At 36.1% G+C, this 27,287-nt stretch overlaps 1 protein-coding gene across 2 annotated transcripts in view, besides 1 other annotated feature; it reads right to left on the bottom strand.

Moving 5' to 3' along the window:
• Positions 1-27,287, bottom strand: part of ARHGAP24 (Rho GTPase activating protein 24) — a 527,517-nt gene that overhangs the window by 283,169 nt on the left and 217,061 nt on the right. The gene's annotated exons all lie outside the window — the stretch shown is intronic.
• Positions 11,657-11,806: an enhancer, noted in NCBI's record as "active region_21694". NCBI's record gives its function as "activates an Ori minimal core promoter by ATAC-STARR-seq in GM12878 lymphoblastoid cells {active_cell/tissue: GM12878}" and the evidence as "EXISTENCE:reporter gene assay evidence [ECO:0000049][PMID:35858748]".

The following is a 27,287-nucleotide window of genomic DNA, read 5'->3' as shown; positions in this document are numbered from 1 at the left end:
TTTGGCACAGAAAATTATAGTCCTCAGCCATTTCCCTCCTTCTGGGCTTAGACTGATAAAGCATAGCGCTCTCCAACCAAAACCCAAGAAATTGTATGTTAGAAGTATTCCTCTCCCCCCATGCCTTACAAGGTGAGGTGTTGGAGGAATTGCCTTTGTTCTCCTCCTCCAGGAAGTACCTTTTCCTGCTTTTTATCATATCTAGTTTTCTCTGGCCTATAGATCCCGTTTCCCATTTTGTTTCCCTACCTTTGAAGTAATTTTTAAAAAATTGCTAGATACTTTGAAGATACTCATTGTAATAAAGACCTTTTATTACATACATTTAATCTATATGGTTTCTACATAATGTGGTAAAAATAATTGTTTCAATTAAGAATTTATTCTACTTACTGAAATGACTTTGTGAAGTAATTCATTTTGTGATTTATCTCAGTTTTAGAACATAGCATCTAATATTCATTTTATCCACATGTGTATTTGTGTGTGTATGTATAACTCCTGTTTAGTTCTATATCTTCAGGTTCTACTTAAGATCTTGAATTGTACATGTGCCATATAAGTTGAATTCAAGCAACGCACTAGCATAAATGCTACCTCCTTGAAATCTTAAGCTATCACATTTTGTAATTTAAAAACTCCAAGTAATGCTATCCTTTGTTGTCCTTTTTGTATATGTGAAACAGCTACTTCTGGATGAAATTTTTATTAACATTTTCTTATTTGACATTATATAAATTTTATATTTTGACAAGTTTTTCAAACAAATTGTAACATAAAAATAGTAGTTTAAATATCAACAGACAAGGCTTAGGGCAGGATATGCTGTAATTGACAAACATTTACTGTGGTTAATTTACTAAGTCATTCAGTAAATAAAATAAAGTCCTTTAACTGAAATAGCTAACTTGATCACATTGTATGGAAATTCTGTAAAGTCCATAACTAAGGGAAATGTCTTAATTGTGATAGTTATTTTCAAAGTGTTTAGCAATATTTATAGTGTTGAAAATGCAGGTAAACAAACAAAAATCTCTAATTTACCCACTACAGATAACCAATGTTAACACCATATAAATTCTCCCATACTTTTACGTGTTTATACATGTGTGTATAAACATACAGAGCAATTTTCACAAAACAGTAATCAAAATAAAAAGATATTTATTATCTGCTTCAAAACTTAAAAGTCATGTATTGTTGTTATGCCAAGTGTAGTCATCTACATCATTTTTAAAAGCTGAATTATATAGTACTTGCTTGAGTATACATACTTTAACATCCTCTACTGCTGTAATACATTTATAATTTTTGTCTTATAAGGAACATTTTATGTTGTAAAGAACATGAAGAACATCCATGAAGCTAAGTCTTTGAGCTTCTCCCTAATGTATTCCTTTAGGGCAAATACCTAAGAGATAAATTAGTCATTAAAAAGTATGCACTGCTTGTTTGTGTGAGTTGGTTAATTCTTCCACAGCTGCTCTAAATTAACCAAAGAAGCAACGAACTAATAAATAAGTACAAGTCAGGTGCCCAATCTAACTCGAAAGTAATATGTTGACAGACTACCATGTGTCAGATATTATTTCTTTAAATATCTCAGGTGATGTGAAGTGTGTGAAAGAAATAAATAATAAACTCTTTGCTCTCAGTACAAGAATAACACAGTACATAATTTTAAAACAAATGAGTGTGACAGTATTTAGAAAATCAAGTAAATATAATAAAAGTTTAAGAACAGAGTGTCATAAGGGCAGGCTGATTAGTTAGGAAAAGTATATAAAGGAAATGGTTTTAAGAGGAAGGTAGGGTTTTAAGATTTAGTGGCCAAGGGCTAATCTTTCAAAGTGGAGGAAATAACATCAACCAAAGCAGAAATTAGAACCATATGTGCAGAGTACATTACAATAAGCAAAAGACCCATGTGGAGGAATAATTAGGAAGTGAAGATTGTTGGTTACATGTGCTGAGAATGTGTTGTAGAAATTCTAAGCCTAGGCAGAGGATGTTACACTTGGTATCTGTAGCAGCTGAGAGCCAGGGTAGGTTCTTGCGCAAAGCAGATGGAGATTTAATGATACCACACTCTTAAAAGTTTGTTATCATAAAGCAATTAATTTGATATAAGAGGGTAAGGTCAAGAAACGTGTTGGCAGTAGAAATGGTATACATTTGCATTACAGATGCATTATTATATATTGTTAAGAAACATGTACAGAAACTAGTCATAGCTTAAACAGGAAACAAAGAAGGAAGAGTAAAAGATGACTTCAATTTTTCTCTATATCTAGAAGAGTATTTCCCCTGTTAGAAATGGGAATTAGGAAGATTTAAGCTCCATAAGGCCCATCCCCATGCACTTGAGCCAAAACCATGTGATATTTTAAAATTCTCTCTTAGTAAATACGATAGATATTCTCTGTTTGTTCCCCCAGATATTCTCTCCACTCCTCACTCTATTCCATACTCTAAGAGATTAATCTCTATAAATTCCATAAACCAAGCTCTCTTGATCTCTGGCTTCAGGTTAGGTTAGAGAGGCTACTTCGGGATGTCAGAAGAGCACAAGAGAGACAGGTCAAGATATTTATTCACCTGTTTCCTTCCATGCTAGCTGCAACATGGTCCTACTTGTATTGGGCTAAATCTTAAAGTCACCGGCTTCCCCAAATTCCAGTAGAGCTAAGAGTGGTCAGGGGTTCCTCTCTGTTTTTCACCCAGGGGTGTTTTACCTATCCACTGGTTTTCATTAACCTTTCTAACACTTGGTAAATTTTTTTTTTAATCACACACTGTTCAATTATCCCTTTTGTGACAAAGCTATCAATTACTTGCTGGAATACTGAGTGACAAAAGAACCAGGGTGCAAGTGTCTTGAGTTTTCTAAGTAAGTGCATGTTATCCCTTGATGTTCAGTATGCCTCATGGCAAACTTTGGATGATCAGAGAGAAGAGGCTCAAGTACAACAAGGAAATGGAACCTTTTTGATAAGAGTTCAGCACATATGGCAATAATTTCATGACAATAATTAACCAGCACATTCAAAATGGGATTATACGTATTTTTATTCCTGATAAGAAATATTCCTTTTATGAAGAATCTTTAAAACTTCAAAATGAAATATGATAAACAAAATCTTTTATAGTTTGACAGCTAAGAGTTGGCAAAAGCGACACAATTTGTAACCACACTAGTAGTTTGCTGTCAGCTAAAATTACTATTAAAAAGAAAGCTCATATCTAGTTAATACCAGATCACTGAGCCAAAACCACAAGAGATTGGGGTAAGGGTAGATGCTGTTGAAAATAGGCACAGGGATCTTATTCTTTGGAATTTGGATTGGAAAAAAAACATGCATGTGTAATAGCTCTGTTAGTTTAATAAGCACAATGTTGAGATTTTTTTCCAGCATAAACAATGACTATGAGCATCACAGTGAACTAGAAAAATCTCAGCTTGACAATATATGTCCATTTTTAATGAGATTAGACAGAGGTTCGAAAGTGAGATCAAGATGAAATAAATATTATTCAACAGGTTTTATTAAAACGATATAAGTTGGTTCAATTTTTTTCTTTACAGCAAGTAATTTCATGAATTTATTAAATAAATATTAATTAAACAACATGTAGCAAGTCTGAGGCCCTGTCTTAGGCACAGAGAACATAAAGGTGAGAAAGGCTAATAAAGTCTTTGCATTCCTATATCCAAAAATTACTCGGGGAAGGCAGAAAATTGAAAACAGGTATTACATATTAAGGCCCTGTTATGAAAAGGAAACAGGATACTGTACACTTATGAAAAATATTAAATTGTAACCATAAGTGTTCTGGCTATATAATAATTTCCTGATAACAGTAAATTTTGTGATTAAGTAAATCTATTCTAGAGTCAAACTGCCTAGGTTCAGGTTCCCATTAACACCTTTTAGTCACATGACTTCAAGCAAACTATTTCTCCCCCTTCCTCAGGTTCGTCATCTGTAAAATGGGATAAAAATAGATCCTACTTCATGGCATCATTGTTAGCTAATACATGCGAAGTTTGTACAAAAGTGCCTGGTACACAGTATTTATTATTTTAATATTTAAAAATCTAATATACCAGACCTTTAAGCTATTTTGGGCCCATATTTTGCAAATCCCCAAATAATGAAATGATTGTAGTAAAGTTTCAATATATATCTGCTAGTATTATAACCTAGGTGAGTAAACAGAGAGATAAACTAACTAGAAAATTTGAAGTCAGTTTTTACTATCGTGTTTGCAAGGCTAGAATAGTTAGTAAAACAAGTAAACCTCTAATTAGCAATCTAATAATAAATACCATAGCGTTTGATGTTGATAAGGATGATTAGTGATATTTCTTGACTATTACTTTGCTAAACACTTTGCATGTAATTTATGTCATTAATTTACCCAATTACTCTGTAACATAGGTATTTCTCTTTTTATAAATGAGAAAATTAAAGCTCAGGGAACACCAGGCAGACTCTGTCATGATAAATTCTTAATACATATTTGTGTGAATAAAAAGTAATGGAATAAATGCAAACTGCTTTAAGGATTTACCATTAGCTGTTAAGCCAATTTATGTTCCTCTTTCTAATCAATGGCTGCTATTAAAGCAGTTTGGGGAAGTTTTATAAATAGTTATCAAGTTCTTCTTAGCTTCTGAAATTAGTTACATAGATTCCTGGGGGTACTACCAGGGGGAGAAAAGAGATGGGAAGACTTGCAAATTGGTAACCATTTTGGAATCTACCCTAGTAATTCTGATGCATAATTTTTTGGGAGAACACTGACCTAAGCATTGTTATAAATTTCCTTATAGAAAACTGTAGCATACTATCAATAAAGCCGTACACACTGTAGAATGTACTACATTCTCAGCTAATAAAAACACAAAAGCAAGGAAAACATGTAATATTTCCAAATCATTGTTTAAATTTAAAATGACAAAAATAATTGTATGAGACTATTTTATAATTAGCAAATAAATAGAAACAAATAATCAGATGTCTCATCTTGCTATTTTATATTGTAAACTGCAGATCTACACTTGAGAAGCATTATCATTCTGGGCTCATTTAATTTTAAAGTGTTTTCATTATATTATTTAATATTACAGGTATTCAGATCCTAGGAGACTAACAGGAGAGCATTAATTTTGATAGAGAAAAAGATATGTAGTATTTTGAGTGTCCCTGATATAACTCATTTTAAAACGTTTAACACTTTCTTTTTAGACCGGAGGATCCTTTACCCCATGTTAATTTCCACACTGGACAGAACAGGAGAACATGAATTTCTTCTCAGATAGAGTTTTCCTGCATGAGCATTCTTCTTGGGAGCATAGCCATCACCAATCTAGCTACCATACGGTCACTTCTGTTTTTCAACATGTTTTGATTCATTGGAGGATGGAGACATTCCTCGATTGTGAGAGGAGGCACATTGGAAATGAGGGAAAGGAAGACTTGATTCTAAAACCAAAAGTCTACAATCACACTCTCAAAATTGTAAGAGACCTAGAAATTAGCTTTCTTAATATACATGTATTATATGAACCACTCTGTAATATTACAGGCATTCAACATTTGTCTGGAACATCCCACTACCTTTCTTGAGGTGCTCTTTGTTATTTTTGAAAAATTTTAATTGAGAGGAAAACTAATGCAAATGTTGACACAAAACCACCTGCCAACAATTTCCATTCCAAGTTCCTCCACTTGGAGTGCCTTTTCCCACCCTGAATTGTAATAAGTAACATCTACAGAGGTTTACTATGTGCCAGAACTATTGTCATCTTACAGAAGGAATGGTAAAGCACCAGTAATTTGAGGAGCATGCAGCTGATAGTCAGAGACACAATTGATCTTGAGGAGTCCAAGCTCCACTTCCTTAACCAGATCTTCTGTGAAGGCAGACGTCCTGTGATTTATTGGCTCCTTCACTTATTCATTTATCCATCAAACATAGATGTAGGACGTTGAAAATGCCAACATGCTTAGAAAAAAATGAAACTGTTAATATAGGTTATTTTTGGATAGTCAGGTTATAGATGATTTTTATTTTGCTAAATTTTTCTATTTAAAATATATTTTTAAAAAATAATGAGTACATATTACTTGTGCACTAAGAAAAACATAGAAATATGTTTTTATTAATTAATGAACTTATCTTTTTGAGATAGGGTCTGACTCTTTCACCCAGGCTGGAGTACAGTAGTGAAATCACAGCTCACAGCAACCTCAGCCTCCCAGGCTCAAGCCACCTCAAATCTTAGCTTCCTGAGTAGCTGGGACTCCAGGGACTCCAGGTGCATGCCACCACGCCTGGCTAATTTTTAAATTTTTTGTAGAGATGGGGTTTTGCCATAATGTCCAGGCTGGTCTCAAACTCCTATGCTCAAACGATCTGCCCATCTCAGACTCTTCACGTGCTGGGATTATAGGCGTGAGCCACCACGCCCAGCCTAGACATACATTTTAAAAGCAAACAAAAATGACAGGAGACGGCAGGGTTGCACAGGGGCATTTGGGAACCTTAAACTTAGTTTTCTGCCTTGCAGTAAGGACTGTGGAAGACAGCCCTAGAAAATGTGTAAATATAGTATCACTTACTGAATAATGGCCACGGAAAGATGTCAGGTCTTAATCCCCGAAACCTGGAAATATTACTTTATTAGAAAACAGGGCCTTTGCAGATGTGATTAAAGAGCGTGACAGAGAGATTCTCCTGGATTATCTGGGTAGACCCTAAATCTAGTAGAAAGTGTCCTTATAAGAGGGACAGGGAGATTTGGTTCACACAGAGGAGAGGCTACATGAACGTGGAGGCAGAGATGGGTGTGACACAGCCACAAGCCAAGGGTTGCTGACAGTCACCAGAAGCTGGAAATGAAAAGGGACAGATATCCCCCCAAACCCTCAGAAGACAGTCTAGTCCTCCACACCATGACTTCAGACTTATCTAGGAGATAATAAATGTCTTTTGTTTTAATCCACCAAATTTGTGACAATCTGTTACAACAGCCAAGGGAAACTAATACAAAAAAGGTGGCAACAACTCTTCCAATGACCTAGAAAGGAGCCTGTAAACAGCTGGGGTTTTAAAATGAGTCCACCCTAAACACTCAAATGCTGGTAAATGGTCCTAACAGTTAATTAGTCAATCATTTTTGGGGAGAATCCAGGGTGTGCAAGGCATTCTGAGAGGTGGTAACCAGAGAAAATCCTTTCTGACCCCACCCTCTTCTCTCTTAACAGGAGGAAACCGTTAAACCAGTCACGTTAATGTCCTTGGAACCCCAAGGCAGAGTATCTGTGGCAAGAAACCGTGTTCAATTACTAAATGTCATTTTACAACTTTTATTATTTCTCAACTAGGAAAAGAAATGTGAACTGTTCAGGGGTTGGTAAATGACACATGTCTGAAGCAAAGTCTATGGCAATAAGATAAAAAGAAAAAGAATAGGGAGGGTTTTGAAGTTTGTGTCTCATTATGAAACAGAAATGTGAAGAGCGAAAAATGGTCATAGCTATGCAATATTTACTATGCGAAACTCTAGGACTCTAAAGAGAAGGGCCCAATAAGCTATTATCTGTGGACCAGAAAATTGATGATAAAATAGCCTCATTTGAGATCTTATTTTAATTAACTAATAAACCCTCTGTGTGTTTAAAAAATTAAGTGGAAAGGACCTAGAATTAACCTTGGAAGAAGCTATATAATCTCTAAGTCTGGTGTACCAAAATAACCTGATAACGCTGAATACAATGACCTTGCTAATTTTTTAACAACCAAGTAAAATTGTTTTATAGCTACGTTAATAATTTTCCACATATTTGAATCTTAAATTTAGAAAGTTTCATAGGGAGAACAATGTCTCAGCAGGAAGAAGCAATTTGGGACTTAATCACACAGTTGCTTTTGACATTCTGAATTTGATTTTTAAAAAATCAATTTGATGTAAACTTTTAATAGTTTTCATTTTTAAACTAAGATAATATTTTATCTATTCATAGATTAAAATTAAAAATAAAAGTAATATGCAGAGAAAACAACATATTTCACAAAAACATTAATACTTTCGCTATAAGGTTGATTTTTTAAGTTTTAAGTTCAGGGGTACGTGTCCGGGTTTGTCATGGGGGTTTTTTATATAGATTTTTTTGTCACCCAGGTACTAAGCCTAGTACCCAATAGTTATTTTTCCCACTCCTCTCCCTCCTTCCACCCTTTATCCTCCAATAGGCCCCAGTGTCTGTTGCTCCCCTCTGTGTTCATGTGTTCTCATCATTTAGCTGGTGCTGACGAGAGAACATCTGGTATTTGGTTTTCTGCTCCTGCATTAGTTTTCTAAGGATAATGATCTCCAGCTCCATCCATGTCCCTCTAAAGGACATGATCTTGTTGTTCTTTTATAGCTGCATAGTATTCCATGGTATATGTGTACTACATTTTCTTTATTTAATCTACATGGGTATTTAGGTTGATTCCATGTCTTTGCTATTGTGAGTAGTGCTTCGATGAACTTACACATGTATTGTCTTTATGACAGAATGATTAATCTTCCTTTGTGTACATACACAGTAATGGGATTGCTGGGTCAAATGGTAGTTCTGTCCCACCAAGAGTGTATAAGCATTCCTTTTTCTCAGCAACCTCGTCAGCACCTGTTATTTTTTGACGTTTTAATAACAGCCATTCTGACTGGTATGAGACGGTGTCCCATTGTGATTTTGATTTGCATTTCTCTAATGATCAGTGATGTCGACCTGTATTTTCATATGCTTTTTGGCTGCATGTGTGTCTTCTTTTGAAAAGTGGTCATGCCATTTGTCCACTTTTTAATGGGGCTTGTTTTCTTCTTGTAAATTTTTTGAAGTTCTTTATAGATGCTAGATGTTGGACCTTTGTCAGAGGCATAGTATGCAAATTTTGCTCCCATTCTGTAAGTCTTCTCTTTACTCTGTTGATAGTTTCTTTTGCTGTGCAGAAGCTGTTTAGTTTAATTAGATCCCATTTGTCAATTTTTGCTTTTGGTGTCTCTGTCACGAAATATTTGCCTATTCCTATGTCCAGAATGATATTGCCTAGGTTGTCTTCCAGGGTTTTTACATTTTATCCATTTTGAGTTGATTTTTGTATATGTTATGAGGAAGGGGTCCAGTTTCAATCTCCTGCATATGGCTAGCCAGTTATCTCACTATCATTTATTGAATGAGTCCTTTCCCCACTGCTTGCTTTTGTCAGCTTTGTTGAAAATCAGATGGTTGTACGTGTGCGACCTTATTTCTGGGTTCTATTCTGTTCCATTGGTCTATGTGTCTGTTTTTGTACCAGTACCAGGCTATTTTCGCTGTGTAGTATAATTTGAAGTTGGATAGCATGACTCCTCCAGCTTTGTTCTTTTTGCTTAGGACTGCCTTGGCTATTTGGGCTCTTTTTTTAGTTCCATATAAATTTTTAAATAGTTTTTTTCTAGTTCAGAGAAGAATGTCATTGGTAATTTGATAGAAAAAGCATTAAATCTATAAATTTACTTGGGCAATATGGCCATTTTAATGATATTAGTTCTTCCTATCCATGAGCATGGAATGTTTTTCCATTTGTTTGTATCAACTCTGATTTCTTTGAGCAGTGGTTTGTAGTTCTCCTTGTAGAGATCTTTCACTTCCCTGGCTAGGTACTTTATTCTTTTAGTGGCAATTGTGAATAGGCATGTGTTCCTGATTTGGTTTGTGTCTTGACAGTTGTTGGTATATAGGAATGCTAGTGATTTTTGTACATTTTGTATCCTGAGACTTTGCTGAAGTTGTATATCAGGTGAAGGAGATTTCCTTATTTATTTGTGTGCTGACAAGGGGTCATTAATAAAATGCTAAATTGAAGTGATGATAGTAAATATTCTTAACTTAGTCCTAGTAGTAAAATGGATGCTTTTAATATGTCATCACTGGTTATGATGATGGCTGGAGGTTTTTTTTAACAAGATACTGTGCTCTTTAACATTTCAAGGGGTTCCCCTCTATTCCTAATTTACTAAGAATTGTTTTGTTTTCATTTTAATATCAGGAATGGGTGTTACATTTTATTATTACTATTTTTATCTGTGGAGATAATCATATGATATTTTATCTTGTAACCTGTTATGATATTAATAATTAATTATTAAATCTTAAGTGAAGCAGAGCAGATACTATATCTATATAACCATTTCATTTCTCTCCTGGGCACTCAGCAAAATTTTACTTCCCAGGCACCTTTGCATCTAGGTGAGATCATGTGACTGAGTTCTGACAACTACTAAGAAAGGCAGAAGGGTAGTGCTCAGGGATTGTAGCCCTAGAATGCCATGCTTTCTAAAGACCTCAAGAATAGACCTACATTCTATTTATTTATCTATCCTTAATAGTTTAAAGGGTACTGGGAATATAGAAGGCACAGATAAAAGTTTACTGAATGGCTGATTAAATGAAGCCACCTAATCTTTTGGAGAGTTTCAGTATCTATAAAATAGGGATAATTTTAACAATGCATACTTAAACGAACATAGAGATAACTTGGAGATTAAAATTAAATAAGGCATGTGGAATTTGTAAACTGTAGGACTCTATAGAAAAGATCATTTTATTTTGTTCTTTTATTCTCCCAGGAGAATTTATTTTGTCAAATGATAATAGATATGAAGGTAAAATTGCTTTCTTAGGCGATTTGAGCTCTGTTTTATCAGAAGAATTTAAATATGGTCTGAAAAACCCCTTGGTGGGGTTGTCAGGAAGCGGATGCCAACAGAGTGCGCCCTCTGACTTCTTGACATCAGCCTCCTTTCCAACTGAATTGCACCGTGATGGAATAGAGCAGGAAGACGAGTAAGATATGCATTCATCAGGGTTATTTTTAGTAGGGGAAGACAGTAAAGTGGATAAGAGGATAGGCTTGAGATTCTGACAAATTCATTTTAAATTCCAACTTCCATGTCCTAAATATATGACTTTGGGGAAATTGTTATAAATATCTGTACCTCTGTTTTCTCATTAGTAAATGGACCTAAAAAAAAAGAGTCTTACACAGAGGGCTGTTTTGAGGTTTAAATAAAGTTTATAGATGTGAAGTGCATAGCATACTGCTGATACATGGTCAGGGATTAGTAAATAGCAGCTATTTGTTAACATCATTTTTCTTTTAAGTCCTGTTTGGTAACTAATTTGGTAATTACTAGAACAGAGTTTTCATACTCCATAAACATCTATTATTATTATTTATATTTATGGTCTAATATTACTATACATATTGAAAAGTGATCACAAATATACATATATTACTCACAGTAACATATGCTGAAGAATAAACGAGGCCTGAACAAGAAAGTATTTGATATGTCTGTGAGTTTTCAGGTTCATTTTGCAGGGAGATTTTCTTTGGCAAATTAGGAAATGAAGACCAGCAATCCTCTGACCTAAAACTAGTCCAAGTTCTGAACAGCAATTTCCTCAGCTCTCTCAGATCATTATGCCACCTACCAATGACAGGCAGGTGGAGATCGGAAAAAAAGAAGCCTATCATTTCCTTTTTCTTCTAAAAAAGAAATACACAATTAACAAGTAATTTATGACCCAAACCAGCTGCGTTGTGAGTACTCAGAACTCAGGGTGCAATAGTCATGCTGGTCTCCTTTTCATTTCCGGTTGAGGTAATCAACTTTCATTCTTGTGCCGGAGACATCAGTGACCTAATTTTTGCCTAGGACAATAAATGGTCCAACTTTAATAATGTTCATTAGCGGTCCATTCCTTTTTTCAAGAAAATAGCACATATTGGGTCCTGCACATGTGTCCAAAGAGCAGAAACTCTTTTCAACTATTTCTATTTCTAACAAAAAATAAAAAATCTATAAGGGATCCCTGCTTGTTATTACCTATGTGTTTATCCAGAAGTTTCTGAGGATCTAAAGTCTGAATTTAAAATCAACTTGTATTTTATGATTATTATAACCACCAAAGAATCAATGGAGCATATTATTGGAAATATTTTGCTAGACACGGTGAAAATAAAAGTTAAATAACGTTCTTATCTCAGTCAAAATAAAATACTAATTCAAGAAGCACAAGGACGCATTCAAACATTTCTCTGGTGAGGGAAAAAAAAGCACAAACAGGTCATCCATATTTCAGCATTCTCTTTACCCACAACATCTGGTAAAAATATATCCTTGCATGGGTGTATAGTAGTGATATTAGCAAAGAAATCTGAATTTAAAGTACTATAAAGGCTGGGTATGGTGGCTGATGACTGTAATCCTATCAATCAGTTTGGGAGGACAAGGTGAGAGGATTTTTTGGCACCAGGAGGTAACAGCAAGGGCAATATAGCAAGACTGTGCCTCCACAAAAAATTTTTAAAAATTAGCCAGGCTTGGTAACATGCTCCTATAGCTCTAGTTACTCAGGAGGCTGAGGCAGGAGGATAACGTTAGCCCAGGAGTTCAAGGCTACAGTGAGCTATGATAGCACGACTGCACTTTAGCTGGGTGACAGAGCAAGACCCTGTCACAAAACAACAACAAATCCACTATAAACAAAATAAGGCGTTCATTTAATATATCTCAAAAATACATCTTTTTGGCTGGGTGCAGTGGCTCACGCCTATAATCCCAGCACTTTGGGAGGCCGAGGCGGGCGGATCACGAGGTCAGGAGTTTGAGACCAGCCTGACCAACATGGTGAAACCCCGTCTCTACTAAAAATACAAAAATTAGCCGGGCATGGTGGTGCCTGCCTGTAACCCCAGCTACTCAGGAGGCTGAGGCAGGAGAATCACTTGAATCCAGGAGGTGGAACTTGTAGTGAGCTGAGATCACGCCACTGCACTCCAGCCTGGGTGACAGAGTGAGATTCCATCTCAAAAGAAAAAAGAAAAAAAAAAACAAAAACAACATCTTTTTGAAAAGCACGTGTTTCAGGGAAATGTGTTTTGTGTCTAGTGGAAATCTGTTTCACTAGATTTTTAAAGTATATTAATGATGGTTAGTTATAGAAAAATGTTGATATAAAAGTGGACTCTATATTAAAATTTCTTATTATGACAGATGAGTTTTAGTAAGCAAGATGAAATTTTACATTATCAGTTCTTAGCTAGTAGTTTCCACAGTACATTAATCATTTTTATTTAATAAGCAAAATGTATTTTTATTAAATTGCTTTACAATATGGTATATCCAGTGATTCAATGGATGTAACATTTAACAGATTGGAGGTCCATCAAAAAAAAGAATTTCTCTAACAATTTTACATCTACACATCACATAAAGTAGTTTAAAGTTACTCAGTTCATCCCCCTACCAATGCCTGAATTCTGTCTTCATCCAGCTTGAGGAAGATCACTTCATAGTGGTCACCTCCGATCTTTTTTAAGTTCTACTTCATACCCAGCTGAAATCTGGCTCTTGAGAATATCTGTGCCCTCTCCCCTGCAACCATTGGCTGAGAATATCCTATGGTTCTTGACATCTTTAAAGACACCTACCATGCCCCCATTGTCTTCCTTTCCCCTCTTGATATTTTATTCATCTGTTAAGAAAATTAACCTCCAGACCCCTCATGACTCAGATATTCCTCCTAAATCTATGCTTATTTGTCACTATAACTGTTACAGCCTGGTGCTCTAAAACAGTATCCAACATGAGAAGCCATAGAAGAGAGAATAAAAACATGAATTCTAGAGTCAAACTGTCTTTTTTCACATATAAACTTTACTCCTTGTTAGGTACAACTTTGAGCAAGTTCCTGACCTTCTCTCTGCCTCATTCTCTTCATCTATAAAATACAGATAACACTAGCAATTAACTCATATGACCGTTGATAGCTGAACACGATGCCTGCATGTGGTAAGCACACGAAAAAATGGTCATTTCTAAAAATGCTGGACTATAACCTTCCCTATCTACATAATGGAATTCAATCAAAAGGTTCTAAAATGTTGCTATCTCTACAGGTGTTCTGATTACATGGTTGTTGCTCACAGTGAGTGTGTAGTCACTTCCCACGTGAATATTTACATGCATGCAAGTCATATTATATTCATTCAAGTAATTATTGAACTTCAATATGTATATGTCTTATTTGTACATGTATATTCGTATATTTTGTTAAATTTTCTTGTTAGAGTCAAAAAATTAAAATTTAAAATATAGTATCTGTCATATGTGTAAATTTTAATACTTTATAAATAATTTTTAAATATATCCTATATAAACTTGGTAAAAATCTCATATTTCATTAATTTTATAATTTGCATTTTCTCATTTTATATTTTTTAATTTGGGATACATCTTATAGACAATGGTAGATCATAATTCAAATTATAGTGTGTTATTATTCTTAGTAATACCTAAAATGATGGTATGTCTTACATTTGATTTGGTCTCACATTAACTGAACTATGGTTTAAATGTGAAGAATAGGTATATCAATCATAAAAAGCAACAAAATCTAAAGGAAACTCTCATCTTTTCTACTTTCCTAAGTGATTCCATTCTACTTAGATTTATCCACTCCAAACTTTTAAAACTTATTGACCCTTGGTCAATCAAAGTACCTTATGATGTTTTCTTACTTTTCATTAAAAAAATTCTATCTGGTTGCTTATACATTCAAAAATCTTTAATAAGCCCTACTATATGCCAGATACGGTACTGAGGACATAGTACTTAAAAACAAAGAACAAAATATAAGTTAACAAAAATGAAATGTAGAACCTGTCCTCGGAGTTTCCTTTGTAATTAACAAAGAGAAATATATGCCATATGATGCCACTTATTACTAAGTTGTTAAAAATATTTTTAAATAAATGAAGACAAAGAACTGAGTATCATAGTTTTTAATCCCTCCACAGGTCACAGCACATCGTCTTATATCCAGTAAATGGAAAATACATTCAGTACTTCATGAAGGTACTTTGGCAAAAGTTACATTTAGATACTGCCCAACTTCTCCTATCACTACCATATTTTTTCTTATTTTTTGATGGCCTCCATTCCAAAACTATCTTATAAGATAATTTTCTCATGGTGGTCAATAAATTTTAACTCATAAATAAGGGGTTTGATGCCAAGACTTCAACACATTCTCATAAGCATTTTTAGAAAAGTTGAGGAAGAAATGGTTTCTTTGACTAAAAGGCTGGAAGCTACAATGATAGAAAGAAGATATATTAAAGTGCAGTATTAAAAACCTGTATGCAAATGTACATAGTGGATCTACTAATAAATCTGACAAATGGGGTACAACCTAAATATTTTTCAGCAACTAACTGGACAAAAAAAAACTGTATATATGCATACAATTGAATTGAATACTACTCTGCAGTGAAAAGTAAGGAGCTACTGATAACACACAACAGCACGCAAGAATTTCAGGTGCATTACGTTCAATGAAAGATGACAGGCTCAAAGGTTACATGCTATAGATTGCATAATATAACTTTCTGGCAAAGATAAAACTTCAGGGACAGAAAATATACCAGTCATTGCCAGGGGCTGAGGGTGGGGGAGCGGATGACTGCAAAGGGGCATTGGGGATTTTTTTGGGGGTAGCATAACTGTTCTATAGTTTGATTGTGGTGGTGATTACATAACTCTATGTAAATTATACCTCAATAAACCTGACTTTAAAAATGTAGTGTTGTTGATGCTCTGGGGTGTTGGAGAGTGCCTTAGTCTGTTTGGGCTGCTATAACAGCCTACCACAGACTGAATGACTTATAAAAAGGATAAATGTCTTTCTCACAGTTCTGGAGGTTGAGAAGTTCAATATCAAGGTGCCAGCAGATTTGGTGTCTAATCAGGGTCAGCTTTCTAGATGTCAGTGTTTTTGCTGTAACCTCACATGGCAGAAGAGGCAAGGATCTCTCTGGGGCCTCTTTTATAAGGGCACAAATCTCATTCTTGAGGGCACTACCCTCATGATGTCATCAACTCCCCCAAGTTCCCACCTTCTAATTTCATTATCTTGGGGGTATTTTGATGTGTTAATGAAGTAGGGGACACTAACTACAAACATTCAGAACATAGAAGAGGGTTGCCCACTGCTGCCAGCCAAGTCAACGTAAAACAGTACTTCATCCTTACTGGGTGTCTAGGACCATCTGTCATCTCATCTCATCTACCCTGAACATCTACCACACTCAATGCAGAGAAAACAGTAGTGCCTTTCACATGACACGTACTAAAAATATTTGTAGAATGGGAAGCTGACTAAATGAATAAAAAACACGTGAATGAATTTCTTACAAGTCTATGGTCTTGGTGACCAGGCAACTTTTAATTATTCTATTTCCACTGCCTTAAAGGATAAAATCTACTTCTTTCATAGCCTCATTTTTATCAACAATGACCCAGTTGTTTTAGTCATAATCTTGGTAGGATCCTTAGTTTCTTTTATATTCATTTTTCTCTTCTCTATTCTTTCCCACAAGTAAATTCTCCTTTCACATGCTTCTCGGTGGGGGTCTCACTTCTGACCTCCACCTTTGCCTTTCTCTGTCCATCACAGCTGGCCACAAAGAGCCTTCCCTGTCACTGTTTTGAGTATATTTTGTATTTCTCAGACCCCTTCATGGGTCACTTATAACAAGTTAAAATTTCTGTTTATGCAATAATGAAAGCTGAAGTGAAATATTCAAAACTGAGTACAAATGATGCTGTAAATTAAACATGCATTTAAATCTTGACAATCTAGTAATATATTCTGCAAACAACCTCATTACAGGACATCAAAACTCACAAACCCCAGGGCGAACGAATGCAAAACAGAAGACAACATTTATACTTTTGTTTCTTGTATTTCATTGAATAACTTATTGACAATTTGTGTAAAAAAGTTTATCAAATTGAAGGGACTAATTTTTTATTGTGTTTCAATAATGTATCTTATAATACTTTAGAGCCTATAAAATATGAATATATGTTAATGTATATGAAAAGATTTCAAAAACACTTTTAAGAAATAAATTTTATAAAATAGCTGTCAAAAATGTTAATTATTAATTAAGTTGATATTTGTTTGCTATGCTGCTAATAAATAACCTAAAACAATCATTTTAAGGTATGCATTATTCTAATTTTAAGAAAGTTGCATCTGTATAAATACAATGTACATCTGTTTCTCTAGGCAGAAGAAGAAAAGTAGAGATTTTTTGAAAACTTGTTTGGCTTCTGTATTTTGTTCTGCGTTTTCACCAAAACATAACAGAATGTACTTCCCCTTTCAAGTTACTACTCTTCCTTTGTCTATATATTTACATATGCTAGAGTCATAAAGAGAGAAGCTTTATTACATGTGTGGGTGTATATATTATATACATATATCTTATAACTAGAGAGAAAGGAAAAAGAGAGACACACATTCATAGGCTGATAGGAATGGAGTAGAGATGAAACAACCTTTCAGAAGAAAAATATGTACCATGGGTTGATGGACTTTTGGACAGTCTTCCTTAGACTCAGGAACTGAGTCCAAATCTCTGGTTATTTTGTTCTCTCAGGCAAGACATGAAGGAAGTGTGATCTGACCACATTGCAGATGGTTTGGATAATCAGCATTCAAAAAAGAATTTTTATTAAATCCATTTACCATATGTTTCCATTAAGCTGGAGCCTCTATTGTATTATACAAACACACATAGTACACACATATCTATATATGAATCTTGATGTCACTAACTCTATACTTTGTGCTAATGTAAGAGTTTACTGGGTTCTTGAACATCTGTCAGGACCACCCAGACAATTCTGAATTGTAAAAAGAAAAAAATTCAGTCAACCAAAATCTGACCAGATAAGACATGAAATGTAAGGACAGGCTTTTGTATTTGTGACAGCTGTCCCAAATTCTTCATTGATTGATGTATTTATTTTACAGTAGGATGCAATCACTGTAAAATAATTGCCATCTTAAGATGCATACGGTACAGTTTTTTTGAAAAGATGCAAACAGCAAAATTGATAACAAAAACAAAACAAGATGATATTGGGTACTCAGGGTGGGAAATGTTGGGAGATGGGTGAGGGAAAAAAGAAGATATATTGGGTGCAGTGTACAGCGCTCAGGTGATGGGTGCACTAAAATCTCAGAAATCACCACTAAAGAACTTACCCATGTAACCAAAACCTGCCTGTACGCAAAAATTATTGAAATAAAAGATTAAAACAAAACAAAAGGCTATGAGGCAAGGAATATAATAAATCGATAATGTGATTAGGAAGATAAAATGTGTTTTATGTCTAGTGTGGCCATACGCAAGAAGAAATATAAGTAGCTGATGGAGGGAGAGATAATAGCAAGTGGTTACTATCACATCTCCTTTCCTATAAACCTTTTCTTTAAAAATTCTGTAATTATAATGACAGAGAGACTAATGAAATACCCAAAAGTTATTCACTTTATTTCTTATAATGAAATATTTCTTCCAATTCCAGATCATCTTAATTCATGAATTTCCAAGGGGAAGGATTTCTCAAGGAATAAATATTGGAAATTATGTCTACATAAAAAATACAACAGTGTGAAACAAACAAAGAGAGATATTTTATTTTTGTTTTGCCTGCTGGAAGATACTATATAAAGGAAAATATACCAGATAAATTTCAAAAATAGAGTGATTTTCCATTTTTTTCTCTAGTGATATCTTACATTCACCATGTCTACTTTACATCAAACTCTTCATAATAAAAGAGTCTTTTTAGTGGAGTCAGTATAAGTTCACGTTTCAAGCTCAGACTTCTAACCTTGATTTGTTATTCATATATACTGCTCTTTCTCTACTTGGATATCTAACACACAACATTAAGTGACCACAAACAGAACTAAGCTCTTTAACCACCACCTCCCCAACCACCATTACCACCACCCATCAGCTGGCTTCCCCTGTAATCCTTCCTATCTCCATTGATGGCAATTTTGTCTTTCAGGGTATTCAGCCAAAAATCTTGAAGTTACGTTTGACTTTCCTCTTTTGCACCACGTCAGCTGCATTAGCAACTCCTGTTGGCTCCATTTTCTTCTTCTTCTTTATTTATTTATTTTTTTTTTTTTAGACAGAATCTCACTCTTTCCCCCAGGCAGGTGTGCAGTGGCATGATCTTGGCTCACTGCAACTTCCACCTCCCGGGTTCAAGCAATTCTACCTGCCTCAGCCTCCCCAGTAGCTGGGATTACAGGCACCCATCCTTACACCTGGCTAATTTTTATATTTTTAGTAGAGATGGGGTTTCACCATGTTGGCCAGGCTGATCTCAAACTCCTGACCTCAGGTGATTCACCCACCTCTGCCTCCCAAACTGCTGGGATTACAGGTGTGAGGCACCATGCCCGGCTCAGCTCTATCTTCAAAACAGATGTACTGGTCACTTATTACCTCTACTGTGTGATCTCCTCAGGAAAGTAAAAATCATTGCTAAGTATGAGGTTTAAAATCTCAATCCAGCTTGTGTAACATAGTGTTTCCTTAATATTATTAATTTTTAATGGATAAATGTAATATTTTTCTATAGATAACTTTGTAGCTGTTCTTTTATTCACTCAACAATATATATTAAATGCCTACTATGGGCCAGGCACTATTCTAGGTACTTTGGATACATCAGTGAACAAAATAAAGATCTCAGTCCTAGTGGATCGTATACTTAATGGGAGACAGACAATAAACAATACACAAAATGAATACATTATGTACTACCTTAGAAGATGATAATGACTGTTCAGAAAAGAAAAAACAGTAGAGAAAGTGAAGTCAGGAGTTATAGCGGGGTGGGGAGGGTGTTGGTTAACAGTTTTAAATAGGGTGGTAAGGATATCTCTCTGAAAAGTAAATTAAAAAAAAAAAATTGAGACAGGGTCTTGCTCTGTTGCCCAGGCTGGAGTGCAGTGGCATGATCATAGCTCACTGCAGCCTCAACCTCCCAGGTTCAAGTGATCCTCCCACATCAGCCTCCCAACTAGCTGGGACTACAGGCAGGCACCACCACATCTGGCTAACTTTTTTGAAAAATTATTTTTTGTAGAGACAGGATATCACTATGTTGACCAGGCTGGTCTCAAACGCCTGGGCTCAAGTGATTTTTCCACCTCAGCCTCCCACAGTGTTGGGATTACAGGTGTGAGCCACTGTCCAGTTTGAAAAATGAAATTTTTAATGGACACTCATCAGTTTGATTTCCTTCTGCATATCTAGGAAGAAGATTAACAAGGAGGTGCCAAGAATAAAATGACATATACTGCTGTAGTCTCTGATTCAAATCTTTCTCTATATCCATCATAGGATCATGTTTGTAAGGGAAAAAGCAAAGAATAGATGGGACAAGGATGCAACCAAAAATATCCACTTATGGGCTGAATATTTGTGTCTCCCCAGAATTCATATGTTGAAGTCCTAATCCCCAAAGTAATGGTAATTAGAGATGGGGTCTTTAGGAGGTTTTTAGATGAGGTCATAAGGGATGTCATGGTGACATGGTCAAAGGAGGAGCAAGTGGGGGGTGGTGGTACCACACACATTTCAATGACCAGGTCACAGGAGAACTCACTATCACAAAGACAGCACCGGCTATGAGGGACCTACCCTCATGACTCAAACACTTCCTGCCCAGCCCCACCTCCAGCATTGGGGTTACAACTTAACATGAGATTTGGGTGAGGACAAATATCCAAACTATATCAAAGAGTGTCCTTGCTAGGTCGCTCTTTGTCATGGGAGGACAAACTATGAACGTGCTATGTGGAAGCCAGGAAGAAGCCCTCGCCAGAACCCAACCATGTTGGCGCCCTGGTTTCAGACTTTTAGCTTCCAGAACTGTGAGAAAATAAATGTCTGTTGTTTGAGCCACCTGGTCTATGATATTTTGCTAAGGCAGCAGGAAGAGATTAACAGACCACTACAATGTTAAGTGTTGAAACTTTACAAATGTGAGCCTATGAAGCCAGGAAGGATGTTATATAGAGAAGTTCCATGTTCAAATACAATTTATAGTGCCTCCCAAATGTTGAGGCATTTAACATTCAAAGAATCCCACAAAATCATGTTAATGATCTCTCTGAAGAATTTCTGGATCTGCCCACTTTCTATATTCTATAGATACACTTGCAGAGTTTACTTACACTTAGTCCCCCAGCTCCCACTCTTTCCTCCCCAGGCAGACAGTCACAGAAACCCTGCCAACCTTCCATGGGTCCAGCAGTCCATCAAATGACTAAAAATGAAGCTGCTCTGGTAAGAAGCCAAGCTCCAAACTGATAACAATGTTGAAATATCTGTATACCTGAACTAATTTAATTTTGTCATACATTGTCACAATGGACAAAGCCTTAACAAAGTTTTAGTGGGTGCTTGTGTAAGTAGATACTGCTGGCTAGTCTTCCTTCCCACTTCTCCCTTCCTCTCCCACACTCCCCTCAAATACACACTTCTTGCTTAATCTTGCTTTACAAATAATAGTATATGTTTGCCTAAGAAAATATTTCAAGATTAAACAATGAACATGAAATGAAAATGGACTCAGTATTTCTATGAAGTTTTTGTAGCTTTTTCAAATTGGGTGCCCCTAACTTTAATTTTAATGACTCTCTGACACCTCCCTTCACCTCTGGTCAAGGCAGGCTTCCCTTTCCTGCCTGTCTCCCTTCCTCCACCTCACACAGAAACATCCGTTTCCACTTCCTGAGTTTTTCTTATGCTCATCACTTAACCTGGAGTGTCCTTCCAAGTGTGTTCTGATTCCTAAAAGTTCAGCCTCTACCTTCTTCACTTTTTTCCTCAGAAACAGCCCAATTGACTTCCATTTCATTTAGTATGTTAACCTGTCTTCTAGAACATATTAATAGAACTATATTATCCTATTCACTATCTGCTACACAGCTGAGCTTACTGCCAGCAGTATGTTATTGTAAGTATGTTCACTGGTTTTATGCAGACATATTTTTTTAAAATTTATTATTATTATACTTTAAGTTTTAGGGTACATGTGCACAACGTGCAGGTTTGTTACATATGTCCAACAACGATAGGCTGGATTAAGAAAATGTGGCACATATACACCATGGAATACTATGCAGCCATAAAAAATGATGAGTTCATGTCCTTTGTGGGGACATGGATGAAACTGGAAACCATCATTCTCAGCAAACTATGCAGACACATTATCTGTGCACAACTAGATAGTTAAGCTCCTTGAGTATCAAAACAGCATTACATTATTCTTCATAACTTCTTTAGAATGTAGTCCAGTGCTAAGGACAAAGTAATTCTCTCTATAAATAATAATATAAATAATTTTGCTGACAGCATAAATGCATGCCAGTTGACTAATGGAAAACAACACAAAACCATGAGACCCTTTCCTCACTAGCTGATCGTTGGTCCAGTGATTTTCTAAAACTAAAAGGGGATTTTTCTTATAGTTTCAACTGTGGCACATTCATTATCCTCCGATATTATTGCTCACGATTATATCCCACTATCACTCCATATGCATCCTACTAGGAAAAAAGCTTCTGTCATTACTCATCCCTTTCAATGCCTCTTTTTTCCACTGACAAGACAGGGCCATCCTCAACAAGTTGATCAATGTTCCCTTTATCTCACCATTTCTGCATGGTGTCCTTTCATATAAGTCAGCAAGGAACTCTGGCATCTTCTCCCTCTACTCAGTTGAAAGTGCTGCCCCAGATTTAGCTATGAACATGATTTGTTGGGTACTTTTATTCACAATAAGCACAATCCAGTTGTGAGTTAGGTTGAAAGAATGTTATGTCTGTGAGACAACTTCAGCAAACTAAATTGCCATTTGATGTAAAACTTAAGATGTATAACAGGGCATTCAACTTATCTTAAAATAATACAAAAGCATTACAGGCATTAAAAATGAAAATGGAAATACGCTAACAAAAGGAAGGAAACAATTCATGAATCTGAAATGACTCAGGTAAATCATTCTGCTTATTGAATTCTAGATAGGATTGTATATTTCCTGAATAAACATCTACCTTTTCCTTATTCTGATGGTAAAAATATTGTGTAAATATCTTTTCTTCCCATTATTCAAGTTACCAATCTGAATGTTAGACACTAATAAAAGTTGATGATGAAGCAGGAAGAAATAAATACATTCAATATGTATTTACTTTTAGGAATTTAAAAATAGGGCATTTTAGAACTCACTTTTAATAAAAATAAAAGCTGTTGGATCCTAATAAAACACTAATAAAAGCTGATGATGAATCAGGAAGAAATAAATACATTCAATATGTAATTTAATTTTAGGAATTTAAAAATAGGGCATTTTAGAACTCACTTTTAATAAAAATAAAAGCTGTTGGATCCTAAATGAGACCCAGCACTCCCAATCTAGTTCATATATTCTGAGAGATTAAAATAATGAAAAAGTTGGTCTATCTACAAAATACTATATTCTCATTTATCTGTGTATGGCTAAACATAGATGAAAGGAATCTGCTCATACCTCTGGCTGCCTTAAATTATTTGTAACATTGTCAATATATTTCCTTCAGGAAAATAAATTCAAGTTATACTATATCAGTACATGTCCTCTATGGAATTGTATTTGCTATTGGGTACCATATGTACTGTGGATTTGAGATAGGAAGTAACAAACACTGCATAGTATATTACACTAATTAATTTGCTGTTATTCAAATTCAACTAAGAGGAAATTAAATTAATTTACTCTAATGAATATTAACTCATATTAGTTAATTTGAAAACATTCATCTCTAATTTATTTGACTTCCTGCTATTATAACTCATCAAGTGACTTAGGTGTGAGTTATTTAGCTTCAGACTTTTAACATATTAATTTCAATATTTCAGGGTCAGTGACAATCAAATTGAGTACAAATCCTTCATTGATAATCACATTTGCTATGACAATGGGGTTGCCAGCTCAAAATAGAAGGTTGCTAGTTTACAAAGAGACCTCCCACAATAATTTGATTTTTTTCCATCTATGATATGATTGAGCATTCTTATTATGATGGAATATATTTTTATTTTTAATCTCTTTCACTGAGATAAATGAACCAGGAGTTAGCTAAACCTTCCCCATACCCATGTAACAGGCAAACATGTTAGGTGAAGGCAAACCCTGTCTTTATTGGGCACATGCCATGATCTAGGAGAATATGAACCATGGTCTTTAGAAAGTAGCAGAGAACTTACATAGTTGTGTGTCAGCATCACTTAATTTTTTATGTAGAGATGGCTAAATGCAGGAACCAAAACATTATTTTGCTTTACTTTTCACAGAAATAATTCAGAATAGATAAGCTAAAATACGCATATACAACATTAAGATCTTCCAGTTGAGATGAAGTCTGGGTATTTGAATTCTTCTACTAAAATCCCAAACAAAAAATCTGAAGATTTTGCCTAAAATACACCTTGGAGTGTTATGCATAACATTTTACCTCCACTTTAATTGTTGTTGTCGTAATTGAGCTAACAGTTGCACTTGCATTTAATTATTACCATTAATATCTTGTGTGAAATTGATAACTCAGGTATGGCATGTGGGTCTGACTTGTTATTTGAGGAGTTTTATTTAAGACAAGAGCGTCATAGCTAAAAAGCAATATCAAGATGAAGATCCATTGATATAATTAGGAAAGGAAACTCTTTAATATTTTCATATACTTGCCCAACATACTCTTTGTAGCCTGAAACTTAACCTGAGAAAACACAGTTATGTATCAATAAATATATGTATACATGTATATATCTGTTATGTAAAACACATATACACACACACACACAGAGGGTGGAGGGGCCGAGGGAAAGTCAGGGACAGTGTCTTCAAGGATGAGAAGCTTTTTTTTCTCCATGTTTGCAAACAATAGAAACATTTTCTAGTCATTTAGAGATTATAAAAATTAATGCTACTAGTACTATTAATACTTGTTAATAACAATACTAAAGGTTTTATCCATTCATTCAAAAAGTGATTGTGCTGCTCTAGATGCTTGGTATACCGTGGTGAATAGGACAGATAAAGGTCCTACTCCACTAGAGCTTACGTTTGGCTGATGAGTGAATTTTTGATATATGCCAGTGGCAGACTGATTCCAAATCCCGTGTTCTTCCGGCACCACCTAGCTGATTTACAAGTTTCTCCTGCCTTAACACCAGTGGTTCTTTCCCACTTGAACAATCCCGTAGTTTCTCTGAAATTAAAGAAGAGCTGAAGAGAAGGGACAAGATGGCTGACTAGATGCACAAGAAAGTGCTGCTCCCACCAAGAAAGACCAAAATTTTGAGTAAACAACATAATTTGAATAGATTTTCATAACGAAAATGCTAGGAGTAGACGGAGATGCAATGCAGACACTGAAGCTGAAGAGGTAGGAAGCTGTGAACCATCCGTGGGGTACTCAAATGCTAGGGCTAGTTCCTGGCCCTGAAAGGCTCCTGGGGAAGGAGTGGGTGAAGGAACTGTATGACTCTCACCATGGTCCTCTGGGATTCTAGCCACAGGGCACCCCAGGTACCCCATAAACATTTGAGTTGGGAGGCAAATCTGCCTGGAGAGTAGGCAGAGACAGGGCTTCAGCAGGCGTGGAGCCACGGGCCTTGATGCACCTAGCGGCCATAGGCACCCATGCCCCCTGGGCTTTCCATCTCCCTCTAAGAATCTCTAGCCCCAGCTAGATGCCAGGCCAGGAGAAAGTGGGGCCAGCTTCCCTGTTCTGCAGGCCCTCCTGCTCGCCAGCCTCTCCCAGGGCCCTTGCCTGGCTACCCAACAGGAGTGTGTGCATAGAGCAGCTGTTGTTGACCTGGCTGGTGTTTTGCTCCACCTGAGTATGTTTCTAGTGGCCTGGGAGCACTTTGGACCTCCCAGCACACCTGGTGCCCAACCCCAGGTACACAGGATGGAGCCACCAGCAGGTCCCTGTGCCCCAGGGCTGTAGCATGCAGCTTGAGACTGCTAAGCTGAGATGTGTGGCTGAGACTTGAGCCGGGGAGGAACCCACACTCTCAGAGACTGAGGCAGTGAGACATGGGGGTCTGTGGGCTGGCAGGCGAGTGAGTCATGACTCCTTCACGGGGCCAGTTGGGAAAGGATGTGGCCTATTTCTTTGCTGCAGCCTCTGCCCAGGTGAGCCCTGCATCCCAGAACACCTAACAAAAGAAATGTTGATGCAGTGCCAGTGATTGGAGGGTGCTCCCCCAAGGCCCAGGAGTGGACATGGAAATGGGGGTCACTTCTCTACTCCCAGCACTGCAGAGCACAGCAATAAATGTGAGGAAAGACAGAGGAGCAGCCCAGCTGCCAAGTTTGAGCCTATTTACTGGACATTACTCTTAATTGCCATCTACTGGATCACAGTCCAAGCTACAACACCAAAAATATTTTGCTTATATACTCCCCTGTGAAACAATGGGCAAGAGTTCAGCCACAAATAAAGACCCTGTGCAGAGGGTTGGCCACTTGAAAATATCCAGAAATGAATACAATTGACTATACTCAACTTTACCACAGTTAAAGAAACACTAACCCTCCCAGGTGAGAAAGAATCAGCACCAGAACTCTGACAATTCAAAAAGCAAGAGTGTCCCCTCACTTCCAAATGATTCCACTAGTCTCTGACAATGGTTCTTAACCACTCTGAAATGACAGACATAGAGTTTAGAATCTGGATGGCAAGGAAGCTATCGACATTCAGAAGAAAGTTGAAAACCAATCCAACAAATCCAGTAAAATAATCCAAGAGCTGCAAGATGAAATAGCCATTTTAAGAAAGACCCAAACTGAACTTCTGGAGCTGAAAAATTCACAAGAATTTCATAATACAATCAAAATATTAACAGAAGAATAGATCAACCTGTAGAAAGAATCTCAGAGCCCAAACACTGGTTCTTTGAATCAACTCAGACAAAAATAAAGAAAAAAAAATTGTTTAAATGAACAAAACTTCTGGAAATATGGAGTTACACAAAAAGACCAAATCTATGGCTCATTGGCATTCCTGAGACAGAAGGACAGAGAATAAGCAACTTGGAAAATATACTTGAGGATATAGTGCACAAAAATTGCCCTAATCTTGTTAGAGAGGTTGCAAATTCAAGAAATACAGAAAACCCAGGCTAGATACTATATAAGATGACCATTCCCAAGGCACATAGTAATTGGATTCCCCAAGCTCAATGTCAAATAAAAAAATCTTAAAGGCAGATATAGAGAAGGGTCAGATCACATATAGAGGGAACCC

Source organism: Homo sapiens, chromosome 4 (genome assembly GCF_000001405.40).
Source record: "Homo sapiens chromosome 4, GRCh38.p14 Primary Assembly".
NCBI classification, from domain to species: domain Eukaryota; kingdom Metazoa; phylum Chordata; class Mammalia; order Primates; family Hominidae; genus Homo; species Homo sapiens.
The sequence above is the reverse complement of the archived record's forward strand: the minus strand, read 5'-3'. Positions and strand labels throughout refer to the sequence as shown.